At 39.4% G+C, this 25,012-nt stretch overlaps 1 protein-coding gene across 5 annotated transcripts in view; it reads left to right on the forward strand.

The window, feature by feature from the left end:
* Positions 1-25,012, forward strand: part of AGBL1 (AGBL carboxypeptidase 1) — a 951,857-nt gene that overhangs the window by 652,243 nt on the left and 274,602 nt on the right. The window lies entirely within an intron of this gene.

The raw sequence follows: 25,012 nt of genomic DNA on the forward strand, positions 1-25,012 counted from the left end.
CCAGGGAACTGGCTTGACCGTTGATTCTGAACAAAATAAAAACTCAGTTCTTTAAGGACCATCTTCTTCTTTCTGCATTTACTCACGTGGCATTCCTCAAGGGCACTGATCTGCAGTCACTCTGCTTTGTCTGGTTATCACATGAAGATTGAGAGGAAGGTTTACTTAACAGTCTTATGAGGCAGATGTTACTGTTATCCCCATTTTACAGAGGCAGCTACTGAGGCACAGCAAGATTAATTGCCTTGCACAAGAATTTGCGGACAGTAAATAGCAGAGCAACATTTTGAATGCAGGCAGTAGGGCTCTAGAGACTAATAAATAAACTTAATTTATTCTTTTATACCTTAGTGGTCTGAAAAAATAATAATTTCATTTATTCAAATGATAGTGCATGTGTATGCATGTATATTTGTTTATGTGATGTTTTCCAGCGTTATAGGTTTTATTAGTAATAGGTTGATCTCATATAATCTACTCCACCACAGCTGGAAATTGAAATTTCTTGTGATGTGATTTTACAACTGTTTGTAACTATGTAGCTGCCCTTGTCAATGCCTTTTTTTCTCATCCTTGTTTTCCAGATTTTCTGTTTATTTTGTGAGCTCCCTAATATTCTTTCTATGCATTTCTAAATTAGGCAGATTTGGTTTTAGTTCCTTGTAGTTAAGAACCACGATTGATTTGAAATGTGGAGATTAAGAAAGATAGTACTCTTTTGAAAATTAAGTTCTTGAATATGGGGTAAGTAACAAGGAGTTCACTTTTCCTCATTTTGAAGGCAATATAGTATTCACTATACAGACTCTAAGACTAGACTGCTTGGAATTGAGGATTTGATTCTAGACTGTGCCATATATTAGCTGTGTGACTTAGGTAAGCCAGGTATGTATCTGTCAGTTTCTTTATCTTAAAATAGGAATAATGATAGCATCTGTCTCATATCCTCATCTCTGAGCATTAGAAGATATATTAGGGTTCTCTAGAGAAACAGAACCAATAAGATATATATAGATAGATATATAGCTATAGATAAATCTACAAATATATATATAGATAGATTTGTAGATATATATATAGAGAGAAATATATACACACATATACATATACATACATACAGGAGATGGCTATATATCTTATATATAATATCTCTATATATTAATACTATATACATGTATATCCCGTATATATCCTATATAAATCATATTATATATAAATATATATATCTTATACATAGGGATTTATCATGGGAATTGACTCACACAATTATGGTATCCAAGAAGTCTCAAGGTCTGCCATCTGCAAGTTGGAGAACCAAAAAGCCAATGGTATAGTGCAGTCTGTGTCCAAAAGCCTGAGAACTGGGGATAAGGGGTGGGGGTAGAGCTTGCTCCTGCACAGAATCTGAAGACCCAAAAACAGAGAGTGTGATAAAAAGTTTTCTCTTCCTCTTCCTTTTTGTTCTATCCAGGCCCTCAACAGATTGTATGATGGCCAACCACTGTGAAGATGAGAGCAATCTTTTTTACTCAGTCTAATCATTCAAATGCTGTTCTCATCCAGAAACACAGACACCCAGAAATAATGCTTTACCAGCTATCTGAGCATCCCTTAGCTCAGTTAAGTTGACACATAAAATTAACTGTCCCAGATGAGAATATTTAATCACTGCTTGGGATGGGACCTGGCACTTAGTAACTATAATATAAGCATTAACTACTATTATTCCCAGTGGTTTGTTGTTGTTGTTGTATTTAAATATCACTAACATGCATTGACTGTTTACTATGTAGAAGTCATGGTACTAATCATTCTATATGTGCTCGTAACAATCTTATGAGGAGCTATCATTAGCCATTTATAAAGAAAAGTGAGGCTCAGAAAATTCAAAGATCTTCTCCCAGGATCTCATAAACAGGAATTGGCAAATGTAGTATTTTATCCTGGTTAAAAGTGTCTTTATCCTTTATGGGAACTTCTTTGGGAAGGGTAAAGTCCCTTTGCATGGGTCGTATACACCCAGAACACTCTGCCTTCATACACTTACTGCTGATGAGACTACACAGTCCTTCTCACCATTCTGTAAGTAAACTCCTCCTCCCTTCTCTAGGTCTATGACATCTCCAGTGACCCCTTATACAGGTTAAATTTGATCCCCTCTGATACCCTCATGAGAAGGGGAGTGACCTTTATTGAAACCGTTCTTTGTACTGGACCCTGTTCTAGGCAGTTTGCATATGTTTTCTTTTCAAATGATCAGGCTATAAGCAACCCTAGGACATACAGCCATATCTGTTTTGACCCAAGGCACTTACGTTCTTAAATGTTATGAAAGTTGTTCAAGGTCACATTGTGACCTAGAAGTAGAGTCAAGATTGAAAACCAGGCTTGTGTGACTCTAAAGTATATATTTCTGTGTAATATAACCCTGAGTGGGGTATTCCAATAAGAAAAATGGCTAGAGTGGTAATGAAATAATAATTCAATTATAGGAAGAAGTATGGCATGACAGGTTTCATGAACTTGATAGCAGGGAGTGACAAGGAGATCTTCACTTGGAAAAGATGTAGAGACTAAGAACTGTTATATGAAGGGAGGTGATGAATAAAGAGATTTAAGAGAGTAAGGAGAGGTGTGGGCTGTGCCTCAGGTCTGCAAGAGGTGAGAGATGAGTGCTGAAGGAAAGCTAGGTAGAAATGGGCATACATCCTTCATGCTGGTTCTCCTACCTGCTCAGAGCCACAGCCGGCCAACTCCTATGCTGTGGAGTCATTGTCACTGGTGGTTCCTATACTTCTCTATTGCGACAAAGCAATGAAGTGACATCAGGAAAAATGAGGAGGAGACAACACTGGCTCTTTCCATGATGAGGCCAGATGACTCCTTCCCACTGGCAGCCTCTTTAGTTTTTTGTGGTTCTTAGGTTGGTTCTCTGTAGACAAACCAAAAAGAAGATAAAAGAGCAAGCCTTTCCTTACATTTCTGCCACTGTTCCCTGAGTGAGCTGATGGGGAATATGTTGTAGAATTGTGAGGGAACAATAAGGGAACAGGAGGGAAACCATAGTTCCCTCCCACAAACACATATACATGCCCCAGATTCAGGATGTGTTTCCATCCAGTTTTCTATTTTCTTTTGTGCTCATACCTTGATATGTTCATAGGCATCATACTCAGTGTGAAATAAAGATGTTGTTTCTTGGCATATAGTTATAATAATAATTATTATTATTATTTAAGACGGAGTTCCACTCTTGTCACGTAGGCTGGAGTGCAGTGGCGCGATCTTGGCTCACTACAACCTCCGCCTCCTGGGTTTCAGAGATTCTCCTGCCTCAACTTCCCAAGCATCTGGGATTACAGGCACCCGACACCGTGCCCAGCTAATTTTTTGTATTTAGTAGAAATGGGGTTTCACCATGTCGGTCAGGATGGTTTTGAACTCCTGACCTCAGGTGATCCACCCACCTCAGCCTCCCAAAGTGCTGGGATTACAGGCATGAGGCATGGCACCCAGCTGGCTTATAATTAGATTAAAGCCATTACACACACACAACTTAAAAACACACACACATTAATGCTGAGTGGGCAGATTTCAAAGGAAAATGCACACATATATATTGAAGATCATTAGAACATCTATCTATCTATCTATCTATAAATCAAATCTCCTGTCTTCCTCCAACTATTGCACATTTTACTACTACCTTCTATTGTCTCTTTTGATATAGAGATACAGACTGTGTGTGTGTGTGTGTGTGTGTGTGTGTGTGTATTTCCTGCTACAAAGAGAGATATATATATATATTTTATTTGTCTGCATACTGTCTCTCTGGGTCTCTTTCAAATATCTTATTTTGTCAAATGAAGGTAAATTTTTAAAAATGAATAAAATTGCTTGGCACAAGTGTGCTATATTTTAAAATGTACATAGGCGTGACTCATGGCCTGGCATGTAGCAAGCGCTCTGTAAACAGTAGCAGGGGTGCCGTACCTCACAGGTGTGGCTGCTAGAATTTCAATAAAGTAGAAATGAGATACGACTTTTATGCTCACTTTGCTCTTGATTCTCATTGCTTATTCATTTTAATTGTACAGCAAATATTTATGGAGGTGCCAGCACATGCTTGGTGTGGTGCTTGACAATGAGGATACCAAGTTTACTGCAGCAAGGTCTATGACCTCAAAGAGCTCAGCATTGCAAAGGAGATAAATATTATGAATAAATAAAGTTTATTGGGCCAGGCATGGTGACTCTCGCCTATAATTCCAGCACTTTGAGAGGCCGAGGTGGGCAGATCACGAGGTCAGGACATCAAGACCATCCTGTCCAATATGGTGAAACCCATCTCTACTAAAAATACAAAAATTAGCTGGGTGCGGTGGTGCATGCCTGTAAGCCCAGCTACTCAGGAGGCTGAGGCAGGAGAATGGCTTGAACCCGGGAGGCGGAGGTTGCAGTGAGCTGAGATCGTGCCACTGCACTCCAGCCTGGGTGACAGAGTGAAACTCTGTCTCAAAAAAAAAAAAATTATTTAGCACCTATATTATGCTAGATACTCTGCCTAGTGCACTTCTATATAGCATCTCCCATTTAATTCACATAACAACTTTATGAGTGGGCTCCATGATCAATTTTTTACAGATAGGGAAACAGACGTAGAGAACTTCTGTAGCTTGCCCAAGGCCACCAAGGCTATAAGTGATGTCACTGGCATTCAAGGCTATTCTCATGTAATGTCACAGCAAATACCCTTTTTCATATTGTGAAACAATTTGGCTCTTCCACTAGCCGTAAACTACACCGCTTCATCCATCATCCCTTTTAATATTCATGTAAAATTGGGCATAGTCTCCATGGGGATAAGGACATAAGTATGCATGCTGGAAGTATAAACAGGCCTGCGACATTAATACCTGGCTTTTAGACATGCTTATGAGGGTACCCTTTGAACATTTTTAGCTCCCTTCAGCCTCTTATTTTTTTCTCTCTAAACTCCTAGGTCAAGAAAGTATCATGCATTTGGAATCCTCACGTATTATGTTTGATCATTGGTAATTTCTGGTATGTGTATTTGCTTCTTAGAAGTCAAGTTCTCTGGAGGCAAAGATCCTAGCTTGTAACAATCCCCCTTATGTCTTTTTCCTGACAATATTTTCTGGCATTTATATGCCCTGTACTGTGCTGAATGCTATGTGTAGAAGACACTGTGTTTGTGACACATACCTTGTCTTCAAATTGCTGATAGAGAAGACAAAAACATACAGAATATTATTGAAGCAAGGTGCTGAATGGTGCAGGAATGGAAGACAAGGCATGTTTTCAGTGACTGGGGGAAGGGAGCTGGAAGGTTGCTGGGGAAGTAGTAGGGCCTGGAAAATTTCACGGAGGAGGTGATATCTGAGCTGGGCCTGATCAGGTGAAAGGATTTTGCTGAGGAGAGAAACAGCTGATGCAATTTCCAGGCAAAGGTGATATTCCTTGTTCAATGAGAGCCATAACAATGGTGATTTATTCCAGGTGTCTTAAGACACATTATTTCTGGTTATCACAACATCTCTACAAAGTGAAGTTTGTTTCGTTTTCTTTTAAATCACCATTTCACAGACAAGAAAATGGAGGTTTCAAAAGCCTAACAAAGTGCCTATGATATCTCGGCTTGTGAGAGTATGAGCCAGAGTCAGGAGCCAAGTTCTTCCTGCTATAACCACATTGTGTAGTATGAGCTGAGCCTTGATTTCCTCCTACGTAGGGTATGTTTCAGGGAGAATGACATCTGGGAGAATGAGCACAGCTGAGCATTATTAGGTGGGGTTTCAATGGTAAAGATCCCACATACTGCTGCTCTGCTCCTTTTATAATATTCCATAAGGGAAAATGTGACCCCTTTTAATTTCAAGATCACATTTCACTTTATTATTAATGAAAACATTTGTCAAAAGCATTTGGTGTAAATGTGCAGTATTTTAAAATGTAAATGGGCTTCATGAAATTAACTTTTTCTGATAAACATAGATGCAAAAATCCCCAACAAAATGCTATCAAATCAAATCAAATAACATATCAAAAAAGTTAATACAACATAATCAACTAGTATCTATCCCAGGGATGCAAGGAAGGTTCAACATACACAGATAAATAAATGTGATATATCACATCAACAGAATGAAGGACCAAAACCATATGTTCATCTCTACAGAACACAGAAAAAAATCCTTTCTGTGTCTATTGAGATAAAAATATGGGATCTTTATATGTTAATTTTGTATCTTGCAAGTTTACTAAATTCATTTATCAGTTTGATAAAATTCAACACCGCTTCATAATAAAAGCTCTTAATAATTTAAGCATAGAAGGAATATACCTCAACTTAATAAAGGTCCTATGTGACAATTACACAGCTAACATCATACTTGAATGAGAAAAAATTGAAAGCACTTCCTCTAGAACTAGAACAAGACAAGGATGCCCACTCTCACCACTCCTGTTCAACGCAGTACTGGAAATGCCAGCCATAGCAATCAGGCAAGAGAAAAAAATAAAAGGCATCCAAATTGGAAAAAAAAAGAAGTCAAATTGTCCCTCTTGCAAATACATCATCTCATATATAGAAAAACTTAAAGATGCCACCAAAAACTCTTAGAAATGGTAAACAAATTCAGTAAACTGGCAAAATACAGATTTACATACAAAGGTCCCATTTTTAACTACATGGGTTTTTCTGACTCTCTTCATCCGTTACGCATTATTGTCCATTATGCATTATTGCCAATATTCTGGCAATAGAATATTGTCTCATGTGACATGAAATGGGGTTCTGAAGTCAAATGAATTTGGGAAATCTAAGTTATACAAGAAACATAAATATCTCTATTGCAGGCCTAAGAAGTCTTTAATATGCTAGAGTGCATTATAAGGCTCCAAAAGATAGAAGTTGTGTGGGGGAAGATAATTTGACCATGAAGCCACTTCTACATACTTAAAAAAATATCCCAGCCAGGCTTGGTGGCTCACGCCTGTAATCTCAACAGTTTGGGAGTCCAAGGCAGGAGGATCGTTGAGCCCAGAAGTTTGAGACCAGCCTAGGAAACAAAATGAGACCTCATCTCTAAAAAAAAAATAAAAATAAAAAAATTAGCTGGGCATGGTGGTGCATGCTTGTAGTCACAGCTACTCAGGAGGCTAAGGCAGGAGAATTGCTTGAGCCTGGGAGGTTGATGCTGCAGTGAGCCATGATCACACCACTGCATTCCAGTCTGGGTGACAGAAGCAAGACCCTGTTTCAAAAATGAACAAATAGGCTAGGTGCGGTGGCTCATGCCTGTAATCCCAGCACTTTGGGAGGCCAAGGCAGGCAGATCACCTGGGGTCAGGAGTTTGAGACCAGCCTGACAAACATGGAAAAACCTTGTCTCTATTAAAAATACAAAATTAGCCGGGCTTGGTGGCACATGCCTGTAATCCCAGCTACTCAAGAGGCTGAGGCAGGAGAATCGCTTGAACCCAGGAGGTGGAAGTTGTGGTGAGCCAAGATCGTGCCATTGCACTCCAGCCTGGGCAACAAGAGCGAAACTCCATCTCAAAAAAAAAAAAAAAAAAAAAAGTAAAAGAGAAAAAAAAATTTTTCACAGGATCCATCAAGATTCATTTTTTTTTTTTCGGGGGGAGCAAGAAATTAGACATGTGAGAGTAACAGGTGAAAACCATGATTTGCAATCTTCAAAAGACCTGGGTTCAAATCCCACCTCTGCCAACTAACTTACTGTACCAGCTCCCATAAATAATCTATCCACCCTTAGAATAACAGACTTACCTTGGCACTTGGAAAGTACAGGAAATGGCAGCAACTATCATTATTACTTTTATCATTGTCCCTTTCAAAACCCTAATGCACTGGAAACAAGGGAGGATGCAAAGATAATTTTCACTCCTTAAACAGCAGGATGGCAGAGAGGACTGGATACCTCCAGGGTTTTGTGACACTAAGTTTATAAAGACCCTCCCTCTCCAGAAGGGTGGCCTAATGAATCACTGAGCCCTGCTATGAAGAGAAATGTTTATGGTTTTCTGATGCTGCAGCTGGCTAGTTCGATAACACTCTTAAATAACCCCTTTCACCTTTAAAGCCTGATACATTTGCCTCCTGTTTACTGTTCCAGGAGTTCTAAAGCTATAAAAATAACCTCACTTTAAAGAGGCAATACATTTTTTTTTAAAGCATAAAAGTGACTTGGCTAGAGCCTTAGTAATTTAAAGAATAGAAGCCCAGCAAGTACATTTCATTCACTACAGCTCAGTCTTCTATCAGGGAAGAGTTGGACAGTTTTGTCTCTTTTGTTGTAAAGTATAAAGAAGAAAATTGTTTCCCTAGCATCCCCATACTGGGATTGCCCCAGACCTTTCAGACATGGGAGCTCATGCTGAATTTCATTAACTAGGTAACCATTAACTGCTCTGAACCTCTGTATATATAAATTGAAGAGGTTAACATTTTTTGCTCCAGCTTGCCCACCCAGAAAGTTCTAAGATTCTTGACATAAAATTGTTGCCAGGTATGCCCCACACTCTTGTGTTCTTTTAGTCTGAAGATCTGAGGGAAGGAGTAAAATTGGGAGTTCTGCTAACATGCGAGTAGATTCAAGATGATCCAAAATTGTCCCTGATTTTAAGGAGATTGCTGTCTAATTGGGGACATAAGACTGAAATAGAAAACAGTCAGTGTGAAGTTGAGTGATGATTATGGCACACAATTTATAAGTGCTTGTAGAAGATTAGTAGACAGTGTGATTACATCCGTTCAGAAATGGCTTCATGGGGAGCTGGGTAGACAGATGAATGAGTGTTGGACAGATCAAGAAAAAGAAGGTGTTCTATTCAGGATCTTTTTACTGGCAAAGATAAGGAAATGATGTAAGGTATCCCAAGTAAAAATCAAGTTTTAATACAATGATAAGGTATTTTGTGAATTCCAGTTAGGAAAGAAAATACAGCCAAATTTTAGGTGAATAGAAATTGATAACTGGAATGCCGCAGGATCCAGAGGTGAGATCCCCTCCATCCCTCAGAGGATACACAGTTGACTATAGATCCTCAAGTATACCTGCTCAACCTCCTCTCTCTCAGAGGACACATGGAAGAACGACTGCTTACTCTTTATTTTGCCTGGGAGCACACTCAAATGGCAGCTCCAGCCTCTGAATGGTAAAACTCCTCTATGTGGGCAGAACACTACACATCATTTGCTACTAGCCAGTCTTTTGATTGCATCCTCACAAGTTAGGGGACCACTGTGGTTTGTCAGCTATGCCCAAGGGTAGGGTCACATAGTACAGAGGACTTTTCGTTCCAAGGGCTACAGGCAGGACTGTTTATATTAGCAGGAAAAGGTTCCTCAACAAGGAAGACAAACAATACTGCTGGTGCAAAGTGTCACATCAGGTTACAGAAAATGAGGGGCAGAAACACTGAGCCTGTAAAGAGAATTTCCTAGCCCAAGTGAACAGTGGTCTAAGGCAAAGCAAAAAAAAAAAAAAAAAAAAAAAAAAAAAAAAAAAAAAAAGAATTCAACCAGATGAAGCATGGCTTTGAAATTCAAGGAAATGATGAATGATTAGAAAGAAAATAAGCACTGATAATGTAAATAAATAGGATAATGGATTTTGACCATTATGGTGGGGACAATGTTGAAGTCTTGAACTATAAGACATCATAGTTCTGCATGTTGATGAAGTCTCTTGAAATTTAGATCAGGAGGCAATCAAACAGCAATGAGAAAGGAACTCTATACACTGTTCTAATTGACCTTCAGGAAAAGAATTTAGTCCCTTACTGAATTTTGAAACACCACAGCTTGATGAAAAAGATCCTTGGCTCCAGTTTCTAATTTAGCTTTAATATTTGCTAGCAGACATTTTTTTTTTAACCTCTCCTTGTTTTAGTTATTCAATCTGCAAAACAAAAGGACAATGCTTACATTTAAGAGTTATTTTAAGAATTCATACAGTGTGCCTAGGATAGTGTCTGGTATATGGTAGATGTTTTATAAATGTTAATTTCAGTTTTTCTCTATTCCTCTTCAGATCTAGGTCCATATTAATTCTCTTTATCCACTGGAGTTTTTTTTTTTTTTAAACTATGAGTGGCTTAAAACCCATGCCACGCTAAAGATGATGAAAGGGAAGGGTAAGCTTTTTTGTGTGGAGAGGAGGGTTGAGAGGCCGGCAGTGACTCTGAACCAGCAGTGAGGCATTGAGCCATCTATACTCACTGATGACATGGCTATTCTTTTTATTGGGCATACATAAAGAAACGTGACCCAGACTGCAAAGGACCAATTGTGTCACAGCTTCTTTCCTAGAGGATTTCCTTTTTGTACTTTTTATGAGCCCCTACAAATGGAATCAGACGGCATGGCTTTTCCAGACATTTTGTAGAGGAAGATTGATTAAAATTAGTTACAGATGAAACAATGCCCTCTGCTTTTGTCGAGTCCCTTTGTCAAGAAATATATGACAGAAGTGACTAAACTCTTCTTTACCCACACTTTGGCAAAAGCCAAAAGTTGTTTCTCTGTTAATCTGACCTTATCCTTATTTACCAATGAGGCTTTCTTTAGCTTGTTGTTCCCATGGGCTTGAAGTATCACGAGATCAGATTATGGGATGCAGGGAAGGAAAAAGAAGCACCTACCCTCATCTTCTGTTTGTCCCTATGTTCTGCCTATTGCCTCTGCCTCTCCAAGTTACCTCCCCGTAGGCCAGTCTCAGGGCTGTGGCTTTCCCAAGGATTTGCCCATTTTGCCACAGAGAGGGACTTGGACTCTGATAATATTGCCATTAGCAGTGTCAGAAAAGAACCTCTTTCCTTCAGTGCTCTATTCATTCCTCTGATAGAATCTGGGTAAATACAAGTCTCCTTATGCAGAATAAACAGTCCCTGCTGCTCTCTCTGCTTTGGTCTGTTAGTCACTAAATTAAATTCTGCATTGGAAAGAATCAGAAGCCTACAGGTAGCTTAGTTCAGCAAATAATGAGAAAACCAAACTGAAAATCAACATACTTCAATGCTTGTTATATGGATAAATTCTGTGGACGCTGTGGGGGTAATAGTATCATATATAATTTATTCAAAAAATTTGTATTTTGTTTTGTAGCACCTAGATGAAAGCAGGGCTCAATAATTGTAAGCTGGATGAATGGATGCATTTTGAAGACTCCCAAGGAGCGTGGTCACAGCAATGTTAAAGACTTGAACATATAGCTCCTCAAGACACCCAAGTTATATTTTTCTTTAAAAAGTATTTTTTTAAATTATTTATTTCGATAGTTTTATTAAGGTGTAATTTACGTATCTTAAAATTCATCTACTTAAGTGGGCTATTGACTTTGCGATTATTTTTGACCCAACATTTGTTATAATGGAAGGAAGGAAGAATATCTCTCTGACTGAAACTCTAGGGGAGCCTAAGGGGGTTAAATGTTATCATCAAATCTGTCACTCCCCTAGGTTCTGGGGAACATCTTTCAAATCCACTTCATCCTATTTTCATCCTTACAGCTTCTCAGAACCACCTGGGCTGTTTTTCCCCTCTTAGTAGGCTGAGCTTCTGGCAAGAGAGCGTCCCCTGGTGTCGGGTTGTGAGATGAAGGTTGTGGCCATAGTGCATGTGGGATCTTCACTTACATACACTGGGGAGCGTTCTTACCTGAATAACCCAATGGACCTCCATTAGAGGAGTGTGCTTTTAAAGTGCAGATTCCCAGGTTTCACTTTCCAAATGGCTGGTTCTGGAGGGCTAATGTAGGCCCAAGAAATCTGTATTCTAAAGAAGACCCCAAGGGGATTCTGATGCGGATGATCCCTGAAAAATATCTGAGAGCTTCTGAATGACCTTATAGCAATATTGGAAAGGTTATGAGTTGGAAATGTTGACTGCCCTAGTCTAACCAGTTCTAGCTTTAACTACCTAATATGGCCTTTCCAGTGTATCTGATCACACACCCCCATCCCCCGCAACACACACACGTCTACACACAATCTTTATTTTTGACAAAAAGAAAAGACAAGTTGATATGGGTAAGTTAGGAAAAGATAACTTAGAAGTAAAATAAATCATAATTTTCTGGGAAAATATTTTTTAGAACAATGCCATCTTATTTAAATATATATATTTACTTTCAAGGGATACAGATACATATGCATCCACCCTTCCAAATGTTAGCTGAGACCAGATTCTTGCTGAGAAATGAATGAAATGGGAGATTCAACTCTAGTTTAAAACACAAACATTTCCAATGACTAACGGTTTCCTGCCACCTTAGTTAAGGCAGGACTTCCTATTGACAGGAATAATTAGCTTTGGAAATAAAAGTGGAAATGGAAACTAAGGATGCTAGCTGACGAGCCCGCTTTGCATATTTATATATTCTGCCATGTCTTTGCATTGTGCTTTCTGCTCAGGAATAAATTTGCCTTTATTGTTTGTCCCGGCCTACCCCATTCTCACAGAGCTCCTGCCGTGCCAACAGAGATATGAAACAAGGCCAAGTGATCTGCTATTGAAGCTGGAAGAAATATCTCCCTCCCAGTGACCTTCCTAGATAATGAGCAGATATGGTTTTCTAATATAAAGGGAATAAATCAAGGGACCTTTCAGGGAATCAGGGCAATAACAGTGGAGTCCAAGACCATCAATTCCGAAAGCAAAGGGCAGAGGCACCTTTCTTTATAGATCAACATTAGACTAAGGCAAGAAGGGAGACATTCACCCCCAGAGGGGGGGAGGAGTTAAAATAGATCAGCTCTCCCTTCCCCGTGTTTCTCCCACCCTCCCTCTTTGCACTGAGTCCTGAGACTAATATGGGAGAAAATCACACTTTCACAGGATGTCTCACTCGCTGTTATTTTCTATCAGTTGAGTTAATACATAGTTTTGAGAGATGGGTTGTTTGTCTTTGCCTTTAACTCATTATAATTTTTTGGTGTGAATTCAGTGCTAGACCCAGGTGCCAGATTGGTGTCATTCTGCAAACCTCTGTTGATCTGCGGAGCAGCTCTATCCTGCTCTTGGTCTTCATCTGAAACCATTGATCTCTCTCGAGAAGTACCTATTAGGGATAGGGCTAAAAGCGGGGCCAGGAAGAGTTTGGGACCAGGTGGACCACTGGGGGAAGACAAGGTAATAGAGTATGTCTTTCCGTAGACGTACTGCTGTTTGCTGATCCATTTCTTATATATGTAGCACCAAAATACACCAGTGAAAACAAAGGAGAGAGTATGTTTAATTCAAGGAATGACATCCTGGCATATTAAGAATAAACATATAGATAATTTTGATAGAAATAATTGCTATTTGCTGAGGTCTTAGTATGTGATGGGCATTGTGCCCAATCTTTCTGAATATATTAACCTTGAAGAAGGGGTATTATTATCCCCATTTAAAAAATGGGAATATAGAGGCTGTAAGTTTACATGACCTGCTCTGAATTACACAAGTATAGAAAATATTAAGTGAAACATTATATTGAGGGCCGTCTGACCCCCAAAGTCCGTTGTTTTAAACATGCATCTATGCCACAGGAAAAGTTGTCAGTAAATGGTCTAAAAAGGAGGTGCAGAGAACTGGGAACTACTGCCCAGAGAGGCTCAGTCTTTTTCTGGACCTTATGTAGGAACCAGTTTTTTGGACCAAAATCTTGGTCAAGGGGAGATGGCATTGAGGGCCTGGCATTTTCAAATACTACGTGGTGCATGTCAGATTTCAGAAATTTTATTTAAATCCCACCTCCCGATTTTATCTGTGAAGAAACAGACCTAAAGGGGAAAATGGATTGTCCAAGGCTGAGCCGAAATTGTAACTCAGGTCTTTGGTGTATAAGCCTCTCCTACTGGTAGCCAGTCATTATTTGGTGGCAGTTAAAACATCTTGTTAACGCAGTAAGATCTATTTAGCTCATCTTTCCCATGACACCTGGAGAACCCCAGGCACTTGGTCTCACACAGGCTGTCAGCAATAGATTTGGGACAGAAACTCACAGCCCAACACCATGGGCACCAGAGCACATCTGGTCTAAGATACTCTGATGTCTCTCTTTCAGGTAGAGAATACAGCTCCCATTCTTTGATGTGCTAAGAAGCCAGGGCAGTGCAGGATAGTGACCCATTTGGTTCCTGTTGGGGCTTCTTGTGGTTATGCCTCTCACCTAGTACTTCATCCCAGTAAGGGCCTCCCCTCTGCCTCTTTTCTCCCTTCCCTGAAGTCTGTTCACCACACTGTAGCCCAAGAGAGTTTTCACAACACACCTGGTTATGTTTCGCTCTTATTGACAAGATGAAGTAGACTCCTTCCGCACATCCTTCTTCACATGACTTATGCATGACCTTGTAAGAAATGGTTGTTTCTTGTTCTGTAAACCCATCCATATTGAAAAGGTTTTATTTCTTCAAACATGACATATGTCTCTTGCCTCTGAGCCTTTAACCTTGCTATTCCCAGTTCCTAAATCTTTGTATGTCTGGCCCAAGTCCTGGTCATTCCTGAGGTCTCAGTATAAACATCACTTCACTCAGTAAGTTTACCCTTGATTTTTTTATTTTGGGTTCAGAACATACCTTGCACAGAGCTCAGGCCTAGACTTATCACCCCATATTATAATTCCCTGATCGTGCACATCAGCCTCCACCGATAGACTGTGAGGTCCCAGGAGCTGGTAACCATGTTTGTCTGATTTACATTATATCCCCAGTGCTTAGGAGAAGGTCCAGCACAAAATAGGTACCAAACAAATATTTCTTCAATGAAGCACTTATTGGATGTTTTGTGAACACATCCTTTCTCTTCTGTGTATTTTATGGCAGCCACTGTATCTAGTGTTGGTCATTAAATGGAGAGGAAATTAGTATGACGCTGGCCCCCTAAAGACTTCAGTCTATTGGCCGAAACACATGTAACTATGCAACAACATAGGCACACACAAACAATATAACTATAAATTCTGATAAATATTCTATGTAAACATTACAAGAGACCCTATTACATGGTGACCTAAACTTTTTCAATCATAGATTACCTTCTGATACTGTTTAACTATTAAGGAATTGATAAGATCGCATGAAAAAATATTCAGTAACTCAGCAATTAAGTGGCATGCTCATTTCCATAATGGAAACTGGAAGTGAATAGGGATGATACCACCAATGTCTCAGCTTCACAGCCCCCCGAGCATATGCACCCCAGGACTCTAGAGGGATCACTTTTGCCCTTCCGCCTTTAAAAGAGCATGGGCCCCAAATATAGGCCATGATTTCATGCTGCTTTTCCTTAGAAATCCATGGCCATGAGAGGAGAATGTAAGAGTATTTTCCTGCCTCAAATAATGCTTATTAAGGAGTTTGTAAAAATATTTGAAAGAAAACAGTAATAGCCCATGTCTCCATTGTCTAGATGGTTGCTGATGACATTTTGTAGATTAAAGTAATATACAAACTTAGTTAGAAAATTAAACTGACAGATAAAAATTGAAATAAATAAAAATAATAAAACATACAAAATTGCAAAATGTCTAAGTATGAAAGTCTAAAAAACACGAAGTGAAATTTCTTGCCAAAGGCAATAATTCTTTTCTTTTATTATTATACTTTAAGTTCTAGGGTACATGTGCACAACGTGCAGGTTTGTTACATATGTATACATGTGCCATGTTGGTGTGCTGCACCCATTAACTCGTCATTTACATTGGGTGTATCTCCTAATGCTTTCCCTCCCTCCTCCCCACACCCCACAACAGGCCCCAGTGTGTGATGTTCCCCTTCCTGTGTCCATGTGTTCTCTTTGTTCAGTTCCCACCTAGGAGTGAGAACATGTGGTGTTTGGTTTTCTGTTCTTGAGATACTTTGCTGAGAATGATGGTTTCCAGCTTCATCCATGTCCCTACAAAGGACATGAACTCATCATTTTTTATGGCTGCATACTATTCCATGGTGTATATGTGCCACATTTTCTTAATCCAGTCTATCGTTGATGGACATTTGGGTTGGTTCCAAGTCTTTGCTATTGTGAATAGTGCCACAATAAACATACGTGTGCATGTGACTTTATAGCAGCATGATTTATAATCGTTTGGGTATATACCCAGTAATGGGATTGCTGGGTCAAATGGTATTTCTAGTTCTAGATCCTTGAGGAATCGCCACACTGTCTTCCATCATGGTTGAACTAGTTTATAATCACATCAACAGTGTAAAAGTGTTCCTATTTCTCCACATCCTCTCCAGCACCTGTTGTTTCCTGACTTTTTAATGATCACCATTCTAACTGGTGGGAGATGGTATCTCATTGTGATTTTGATTTGCATTTCTCTGATGGCCAGTGATGATGAGCATTTTTTCATGTGTCTGTTGGCAGCATAAATGTCTTCTTTTGAGAAGTGTCTGTTCATATCCTTCACCCACTTTTTGATGGGGTTGTTTGTTTTTTTCTTGTAAATTTGTTTCAGTTCTTTGTGGATTCTGGATATATTAGCCCTTTGTCAGATGAGTAGATTGCAAAACTTTTCTCCCATTCTGTAGGTTGCCAGTTCACTCTGATGGTAGTTTCTTTTGTTGTGCAGAAGCTCTTTAGTTGAATTAGATCCCATTTGTCAATTTTGGCTTTTTTTTTTTTTTTTTTTTTTTTTTTTTTTTTTTTGCCATTGCTTTTGGTGTTTTAGAGATGAAGTCCTTGCCCATGCCTATGTCCTGAATGGTAATGCCTAGGTTTTCTTCTAGGGTTTTTATGGTTTTAGGTCTAACATTTAAGTCTTTAATCCATCTTGAATTAATTTTTGTATAAGGTGTAAGGAAGTATCCAGTTTCAGCTTTCTACATATGGCTAGTCAGTTTTCCCAGCACCATTTATTAAATAGGGAATCCTTTCCCCATATCTTGTTTTTGTCAGGTATGTCAAAGATCAGATGGTTGTAGATGTGTGGTATTATTCCTGAGGGCTCTGTTCTGTTCCATTGGTCTATATCTCTGTTTTGGTACCAGTTCCATGCTCTTTTGGTTACTGTAGCCTTGTAGTATAGTTTGAAGTCAGGTAGCATGGTGCCTCCAGCTTTGTTCTTTTTGCTTAGGATTGTCTTGGCAATGTGGGCTCTTTTTTGGTTCCATATGAACTTTGAAGTAGTTTTTTCCAATTCTGTGAAGAAAGTCATTGGTAGCTTGATGGGGATGGGATTGAATTTATAAATTACCTTGGGCAATATGGCCATTTTCACGATATTGATTCTTCCTATCAATGAGCATGGAATGTTCTTCCATTTGTTTGTGTCCTCTTTTATTTCGTTGAGCAGTGATTTGTAGTTCTCCTTGAAGAGGTCCTTCACATCCCTTGGAAGTTGGATTCCTAAGTATTGTATTCTCTTTGAAGCAGTTGTGAATGGGAGGTCACTCATGATTTTGCTCTCTGTTTGTCTATTATTGGCGTATAAGAATGCTGGTGAGTTTTGCACATTGATTTTGTATCCTGAGACTTTGCTGAAGTTGCTTATCAGCTTAAGGAGATTTTGGGCTGAGACAATGGGGTTTTCTAGATATATAATCATGTCATCTGCAAACAGGGGCAATTTGACTTCCTCTTTTCCTAATTGAATACCCTTTATTTCCTTCTCCTGCCTAATTGCCCTGGCCAGAACTTCCAACACTATGTTGAATAGGAGTGGTGAGAGAGGGCATCCCTGTCTTGTGCCAGTTTACAAAGGGAATGCTTCCAGTTTTTGCCCATTCAGTTTGATATTGGCTGTGGGTTTGTCATAAATAGCTCTTATTATTTTGAGATACATCCATCAATACCTAATTTATTGAGAGTTTTTAGCATGAAGTGCTGTTGAATTTTGTCAAAGGCCTTTTCTGCATCTGTTGAGATAATCATGTGGTTTTTGTCTTTGGTTCTGTTTATATGCTGGATTACTTTTATTGATTTGCGTATGTTGAACCAGCCTTGCATCCCAGGGATGAAGCCCACTTGATCATGGTGGATAAGCTTTTTGATGTGCTGCTGGATTCCGTTTGCCAGTATTTTATTGAGGATTTTTGCAACGATATTCATCAGGGATATTGGTCTAAAATTCTCTTTTTTTGTTGTGTCTCTGCCAGGCTTTGGTATCAGGATGATGCTGGCCTCATAAAATGAGTTAGGGAGGATTCCCTCTTTTTCTATTAATTGGAATAATTTCAGAAGGAATGGTACCAGCTCCTCCTTGTACTGCTAGAGGCAATAATTTTTAATACTCAGGATTCCCTGCAGAAAAGTTTTCTAGTCAAATAACTGTGTGTGTGCATGTGTGTATATATATGTAATTATTATTAATACCAAAAGGAGTCATTCAACAATGTTGTTTTGTACTTTTTTATTTTTAATTATTAAGTATAAGATTTAAAAATTAACACATAGTAATTTTACATATTTATGGGGTACAGATTGGTATTTCAATACCTGTATACAATGTGTAATGATCAAATCAGGGTAATTGACATTTTATTTTTCAGCGAAAAATAGAACCTGGTAATTTCTGTATAACAATAACACCGAACTCCCTTTTTCTTTTTAATAGCTGTGTAATCTTTTGTCTTATGGCTAGATCATCAGTTATTTAACAAGCAATTGTAGTTGTTTGTTTTTGCTTTGAAAAACAATCCTGGCAGGAACATTCATTGGCATTTTCCTTCTAGTGTAACTGTAAATTAGGTATTAAGCAATGGGATTGCTTATAAGAATGATATGTGATCATTTTATTTTTTATTTTTTAATTTTTTTAAACTTCAGGGGTACAAGTGCAGGTTTGTTGTGTAGGTAATTGTGTCATGGGCATTTGTTGTACAGATTATTTAATTGCCCAGGTATTAAGCCTAGTACCTCTTAGTTATTTTTTCTCGTCCTTTGCCTCTTCCCGCCTTCCACCCTCTGATAGGCCCCAGCGTGTGTGTTGTTCCCCTATATGTTCATGTGTTCTCATCATTTAGCTCCTACTTATAAGCAAGGACATGTGATATTTGGTTCTCTGTTCCTGCATTAGTTTGCCGAGGATAATGGCTTCCAGTTCCATCCATGTCCCTGTAAAGGACATGATCTCATTCTTTTTTGTGGCTGCATAGCATTCCATGGTGTATGTGTACCACATTTTTTAAATACAGTCTATTGTCAGTAGGAATGTAGGTTGATTCCATGTCTTCACTATTGTGAATAGTGCTGCAGTGAACATAAATATGCATGTATCTTTATAATAGAATGACATATATTCAGTAATGGGATTGCTGGGTCGAATGGTATTTATGTCTTTAGGTCTTTGAGGAATCACCACACTGTCTTCCACAATGGCTGAACTAATTTACAGTCCTACCAACAGTGTGTAAGTGTTCCTTTTTCTTCACAACCTTGCCAGCATCTGTTATTTTTTGACTTTTTAATAATAGCCACTCTGAGTCATATGCAGAAGGTTGAAACTAAACCCATTTCTTACAGCATATACAAAATTAACTCAAGACAGATTAAAGACTTAAACATAAAACCCCAAACAATAACAACTCTGGAAGACAACCTAGGCCATACCATTCAGGATGTAGGCATGGGCAAAGATTTCATGACTAAGATGCCAAAAGCAATGTCAACAAAAGCAAAAACTGACAAATGGGATCTAAATAAACTAAGGAGCTTCTGCACAGAAAAAGAAACTATCAACAGAGCATTTTATATATTGTTAGATATTGCTAAATTACCCTCCAAGTCACATTGATCAGTGTAGGAGTAGATTCATTTCTTGCAGCCTCCTGAGCAATGTTCAATGACCATCTTATAGATGAAAACTGTATTACATATCTTATTTAAATGTTTTTAAAGTGAGGTTGCATATTTTTGGTCTGCTTACTGATATGTGTATTTCTTAAGATGCTACCTTAAGATCAGTTAGAAATGAAAAGGTTTATTATTAGCACATCCTAAATACACACAGGTTTGCACAGACAATGGTAAAGCCCTTTTAGGGAAAAAAACATGTTTTAATCACAGGTCCCAGAATTTTAGAGATGTTCATCTGTCATTAAAGGCTTCATATTCTATTTACAAACCACCCTCAATCTAAGTTGTTCTGGAATGATCTTTAGTAGGGAGCACTTTATTACCTTGGTTCAATTTGTTCTCTATATGGAATAAATTAGCTTTCACCTTATGTCATTCTGTAAATCACACACCCCTCCCAATGGCCCATCTTAGCAGGAGTTAATGTACCACAGGTGGACATTCTAGAACCTCTACTTATCTGTTTGTGTGCCGTGATGCCAGGATGGAGACCAAAAGGCTAAATGAAGCCCTCACACTGTGCAGCAGTTACTCCATCAGCTCACAGCTCTGTCCCTCCCAACTGATATATTCCAATCTTTCTGATTTTCTGTGTATCCATCTTTTCAGTCTCATTGGAACTAGCATTTGTAGCCTGTGGGTTTGTGATGTGCTGGGTCCTGAAGCAAAACAGATGTGTTTCTGAAATGTGTCTTAATCCATCCAGATTTTAAAGACAAAGCCATTCATCTTTTATCTGGTACAAAAGGGATTTCTAGGTTCTTCCTGAGGTAATGAGTTTGAGTCTAGTGATGTGGTGATAGGAGATGCAGGCAGATTCTTCCATGTCTGTCATCACCTTCCCAGATCCATGCTTTAGGGAGAATGCAGGAGCACAGGAACTCAGCCCTGTTTCTGCTCCAGGCTCTACCCCATTGCCAGGGGCCAGAGGCTGGGCAGGAAGGCTCCCTGTACTCTTTTTACTGTTATCTATATTTTTCAGACTGACATTAAGGATGACAGCCTTCTCCCACCTCCAAAGAATAGATACCTTTGAAGCCATATTCTGGGAGAAAAAGTTGTTAAGAGAGGAAACCAAACTCTCTGTGACCAAACCTTTTTGTTTTTTGTTGCTTATAAAAGGAGTAGCTATTTATTTAGTAAATGCATTTTCTGAACCAAAAATCAAGGACCCTTGATTAGATGAGGGACATTAATTGCTAAATTAATGGACCAGAATATTGCAATTTTCACATACAAAATTTCCTTGGTACAGAATAACCAGTCAATTTATCTTTCCTTGCTCCCGCCCTTTCTTCAGTCCTTCTAAAAACAAGGCACTGTTTATAAGACGCTGTCCTATTTTCTCCTCCTTGACAACTCTTTTCTTTTAAAATCACTTTGTTCTGTAAATTTGTTACCCTTCTATCTAAATCTGTTAAAAACAGAGACAAACGCATGTAGAGACTGTGTCTCTATGTTATATAGATAATATGTGTATGATTATATTATGTGGTCTCAATCTGGCCCTGGGTGGTGTCAGATCCATGGTTTTTCTGGCTCAATCTCCATTCTTGCTGTGTTAGCCAAGGACTCTGACCAATGATGAGGCACCAGGTACGTTTTTATGTCTGCTTCAAGGAGCTTCATTTTCAGTAAACTTGCTTAGGGACACACAAGAGTAACCTGGGGCAGGAATCAAGGCTTTCTTTCTTTTTCTTTTTCTTTTTTTTTTTTTTTTTTGAGACAGAGTCTTACTCTGTCGCCCAGGCTGGAGTGCAGTGGCATGATCTTGACTCACTGCAACTTTTGCCTCCCGGATTCAAGCAATTCTCTTGCCTTAGCTTGCTGAGTTGCTAGGATTACAGACACCCACCACCACACCCGGCTAATTTTTGTATTTTTAGTAGAGACGGGGTTTCACCATATTGGCCAGGCTTGTCTTGAACTTCTGATCTCAGGTGATCCACCCACCTTGGCCTCCCAAAGTGCTGGGAGTACAGGCGTAAGCCACTGCGCCTGGCCTCAAGGCTGTCTTTCTAACTGTCAATCATGTCTAGGTCTGAAGAGTGAGGGGAGAGATGCCCCTTTATCTCACCTACAAACACTTGTCCAGGTTAAACTCTGAATGTCAGAACACTGAACATGTGAATCACAAGTCTGTCTCCCTTGCTTAGATGCAGGTCTCCCTCTATCCCAGTGTCTTTTCAGGTTCCACTTGCTCTCTAGAGCTAGGCATCAGTGACTTGAGAGTAGGGCCACTGTACTTCCATACCTCCTATGTCCTAAGCATGTTGAGAATCTTACTCATCATATGCTGTGACAATTGTTCCACAGAAAAGAAACCTAAATCAGGAAACTTGAGTCAAAGACTTGGCTTCAACCAAACAACAGCATCCATCATACTAAATTAGAATGGTTAATTCAAATTTTATTAGTAGAAGAGCTCTAACTATAATATATTTTATGTTTGTGCAGATTTAAACACTATTATTTTAAAATTATCAACAAATTTAAGGGAATATTCATATTTAAAAGGGATTCGTGCTTACTCCAAGTTTGTGGAAGCATAGCCTTAATTAGTACTTGTGTTTGTCTTTTCATGCAGATATATCTTGCTTGCCCAGCTAGATTATAAAATTCTTGAGGGCAGGTGCCATGAGCAACTTGATTTTTGGAACTCAAGGGTACCAAGGAATTTAAGCAACAATCAAACAATATTGATTGATTAATGGTTCTGTCACCAGGTAGGTTCTGATGTCTGGGTTTTGTTTATTTTCCTCTGGATTTTTTAAGGATTGAGAGTTGTGCATGGTTGGGGTTCTTGGCAAGAAGAGAGTACACATGTCAACTCTTTTGTGTCTGTCCATGAGTCCAAAGGGCTCCTGATCCCATTAATCCCTGACAGAGATTCCTGCAGGGCTTTGATGTGTATACCCACCCCAAGTGAGTAAGTGCTCCTCGTGTCCTGAAAGCATCAGCCTGGCCTCTCCTCAGTGACATCTTCCACTCCGGTGTTCAATTGTGGCTGTGCAGCTTTATTGTTGCTTATGGCACTAATATCCCTGCATAAAGTGGTTTCTTTATTCCCATCCTTTTATCTTTTTGTGTTCCCTGTTCAGAGGCACTGACCTTTTAGCTTGCATGCATTGCCAGGCTCAAGAGAAAACCCAATCTGTCCTTTACCTGGCAATTGTAGCTCATCCCCATTCCTCTCCCCTTATCCCTTCTCTCTCATATCCATCCTTTGCTTTCGATTTCATTTTCTTCCCCGTATCACATTTGGAGCCTTACTAACTGGAGAGAAGGAGGGGGTATATGATGTGGGACTTGAGATTTATCAGAAACCTTTCATTGCAAAATGATGGCATGGGAAATTGCATCATCCATATATATGTCTGAGAAAGACCAGATGGAGAAAATATTTCCACAATGTGACGGACTTTCATACTACTTTCATACTTGTGTCTGCTCTATGGAAAAGACCAAAAGGAAAAAGGAAAGGAGGGAGCAAAAAACAGGAAGGCAAATAAAAGTAGGGTGGATGACCTAATGTTTTTGGCTGCTGGTTCAACCCATCCCTGCTCAAAATTAAAATGAAAACACTCTACAGTATAGAATGGAAAGTGTGGAAATTCTATTCTATACTTCATTTGAAGTTTGAGTTATTATTACAGCTGAGTAGCGGACAGACCAGGAACACCCAGAGTCCTGAGAAGGCAAGCTTTCTGTGTTAGGTTTAGAGTGGTGGGTGAAAAGCACAGCTAAAGTTAAAATGCCAGGAACAAGAAGTTGCCCATCTTCTTCAAGGAGCAATGGACACCACTGCCATTTCCTGAGTCTTTTCTGTTTTTCAGATATAACGTACCGTTCATTTTAGGTTGACCTCAAAGTCCCCCTCTTCCAAGGATTCTTCCCTGATTGACAACCCTCTGTATACTTCTATGCTCACTTGCCGCTCTATCTTACTTTTGTGAATGTGTTGAGTTCTTGTCCTGTGCCTCTGTTCCTTCATGTACTTTCCTGCCTGACTGCATGGTTGTTGAGAGTAGACAGTGAGTGCTTTCATTTTAGTTCTTCCCAGCTATTCTTTCCTATTAGACAAGGCAGCCTTGCACTATTGTTACCTGACTTCTCTCTAGCACAGGACATCTTGCTTCACCCTTAAGAAGGAAGGATGAGGTAGTGTTGGGGAGGAGACTCTACCAGGGCAATCAGTCAGATTGTGCACAGCTGGATTTGTTTCCCCAAGAGCTGGTTCCTAAAAGATATCCATTAAAGTGACAATGAAAAAAGATGGCTAGAGGCTGGAATTTCCCCATGCTGTTTAGCCAAGAGCCCAGATGGCTTGGATGCTCTTCTTTTGGTTCTCAGTTGAGGTTAGCAAATTCCCCAAGGGGCATGCAGAAATATAGTAGGGTCAATTATAGGTTGTCATACTGACCAGAGGGAAGAATGGGTAATATTAGCATTTGATGCCAGGAGCCAGGCCAAACAAATATCTTGAAATATGCAAAAACAGCTCACAGAAAAAGATAAGTCCCCATGAAATTCCAGTAGTGCCCCCGCCCCCACCAAAAAAAGAAAAAGACTACACAGCCATTTTCTCAGAAAAATTTCAGATTCCAAGTGAAGTTTGCTATGTAATCTTCAAATCCCTTTTCTAGAGTCCATTTATTCATGCATGAACTTTCTAAAGGAACTACCATGTGCTGGGGATTGGGGACTCATCAGTTCATAAGATAGACACAGGCCCTGCCTGTTGGCTCCTGACTAAGTAAGAGGTGAAGAAGAGGACAGAGATGCTGCCCTTCCATGCCATGGGTGTTTTAAGAAGGGAAGGGCAGAGTTGCCTGGGCAGGTGTGGAAAGAATTTAACCTAGAATAAGGGAACTGGGGAAGATTTCCCATAGTAGCTGATTCCTAAATGAAGATGAGGAGTTCTGAGGGTGAGAGAAGGAGGGTCTGGGGTGGAGCGTCTATAACCAGGACCCACTGTGTGAAGTAGAGGGTGCAGCATTTGTAAAACCTGGAGCATCATGGGAGTGAAGTTCAGTATGGCCGATCGAATTGTAGATTGAAGTCAAAAGTTGTTGAGAGGGAAAAAATAGACAGAGCTTGTCTTATAAATAATGGTAAGTAGCTTAGAGTTTGTCAATAGGATAATTGGAAGACACTTAAGGTTTTTAAGGAAGAATATTG

This window comes from Homo sapiens, chromosome 15 (assembly GCF_000001405.40).
Source record: "Homo sapiens chromosome 15, GRCh38.p14 Primary Assembly".
Lineage (NCBI taxonomy): Eukaryota > Metazoa > Chordata > Mammalia > Primates > Hominidae > Homo > Homo sapiens.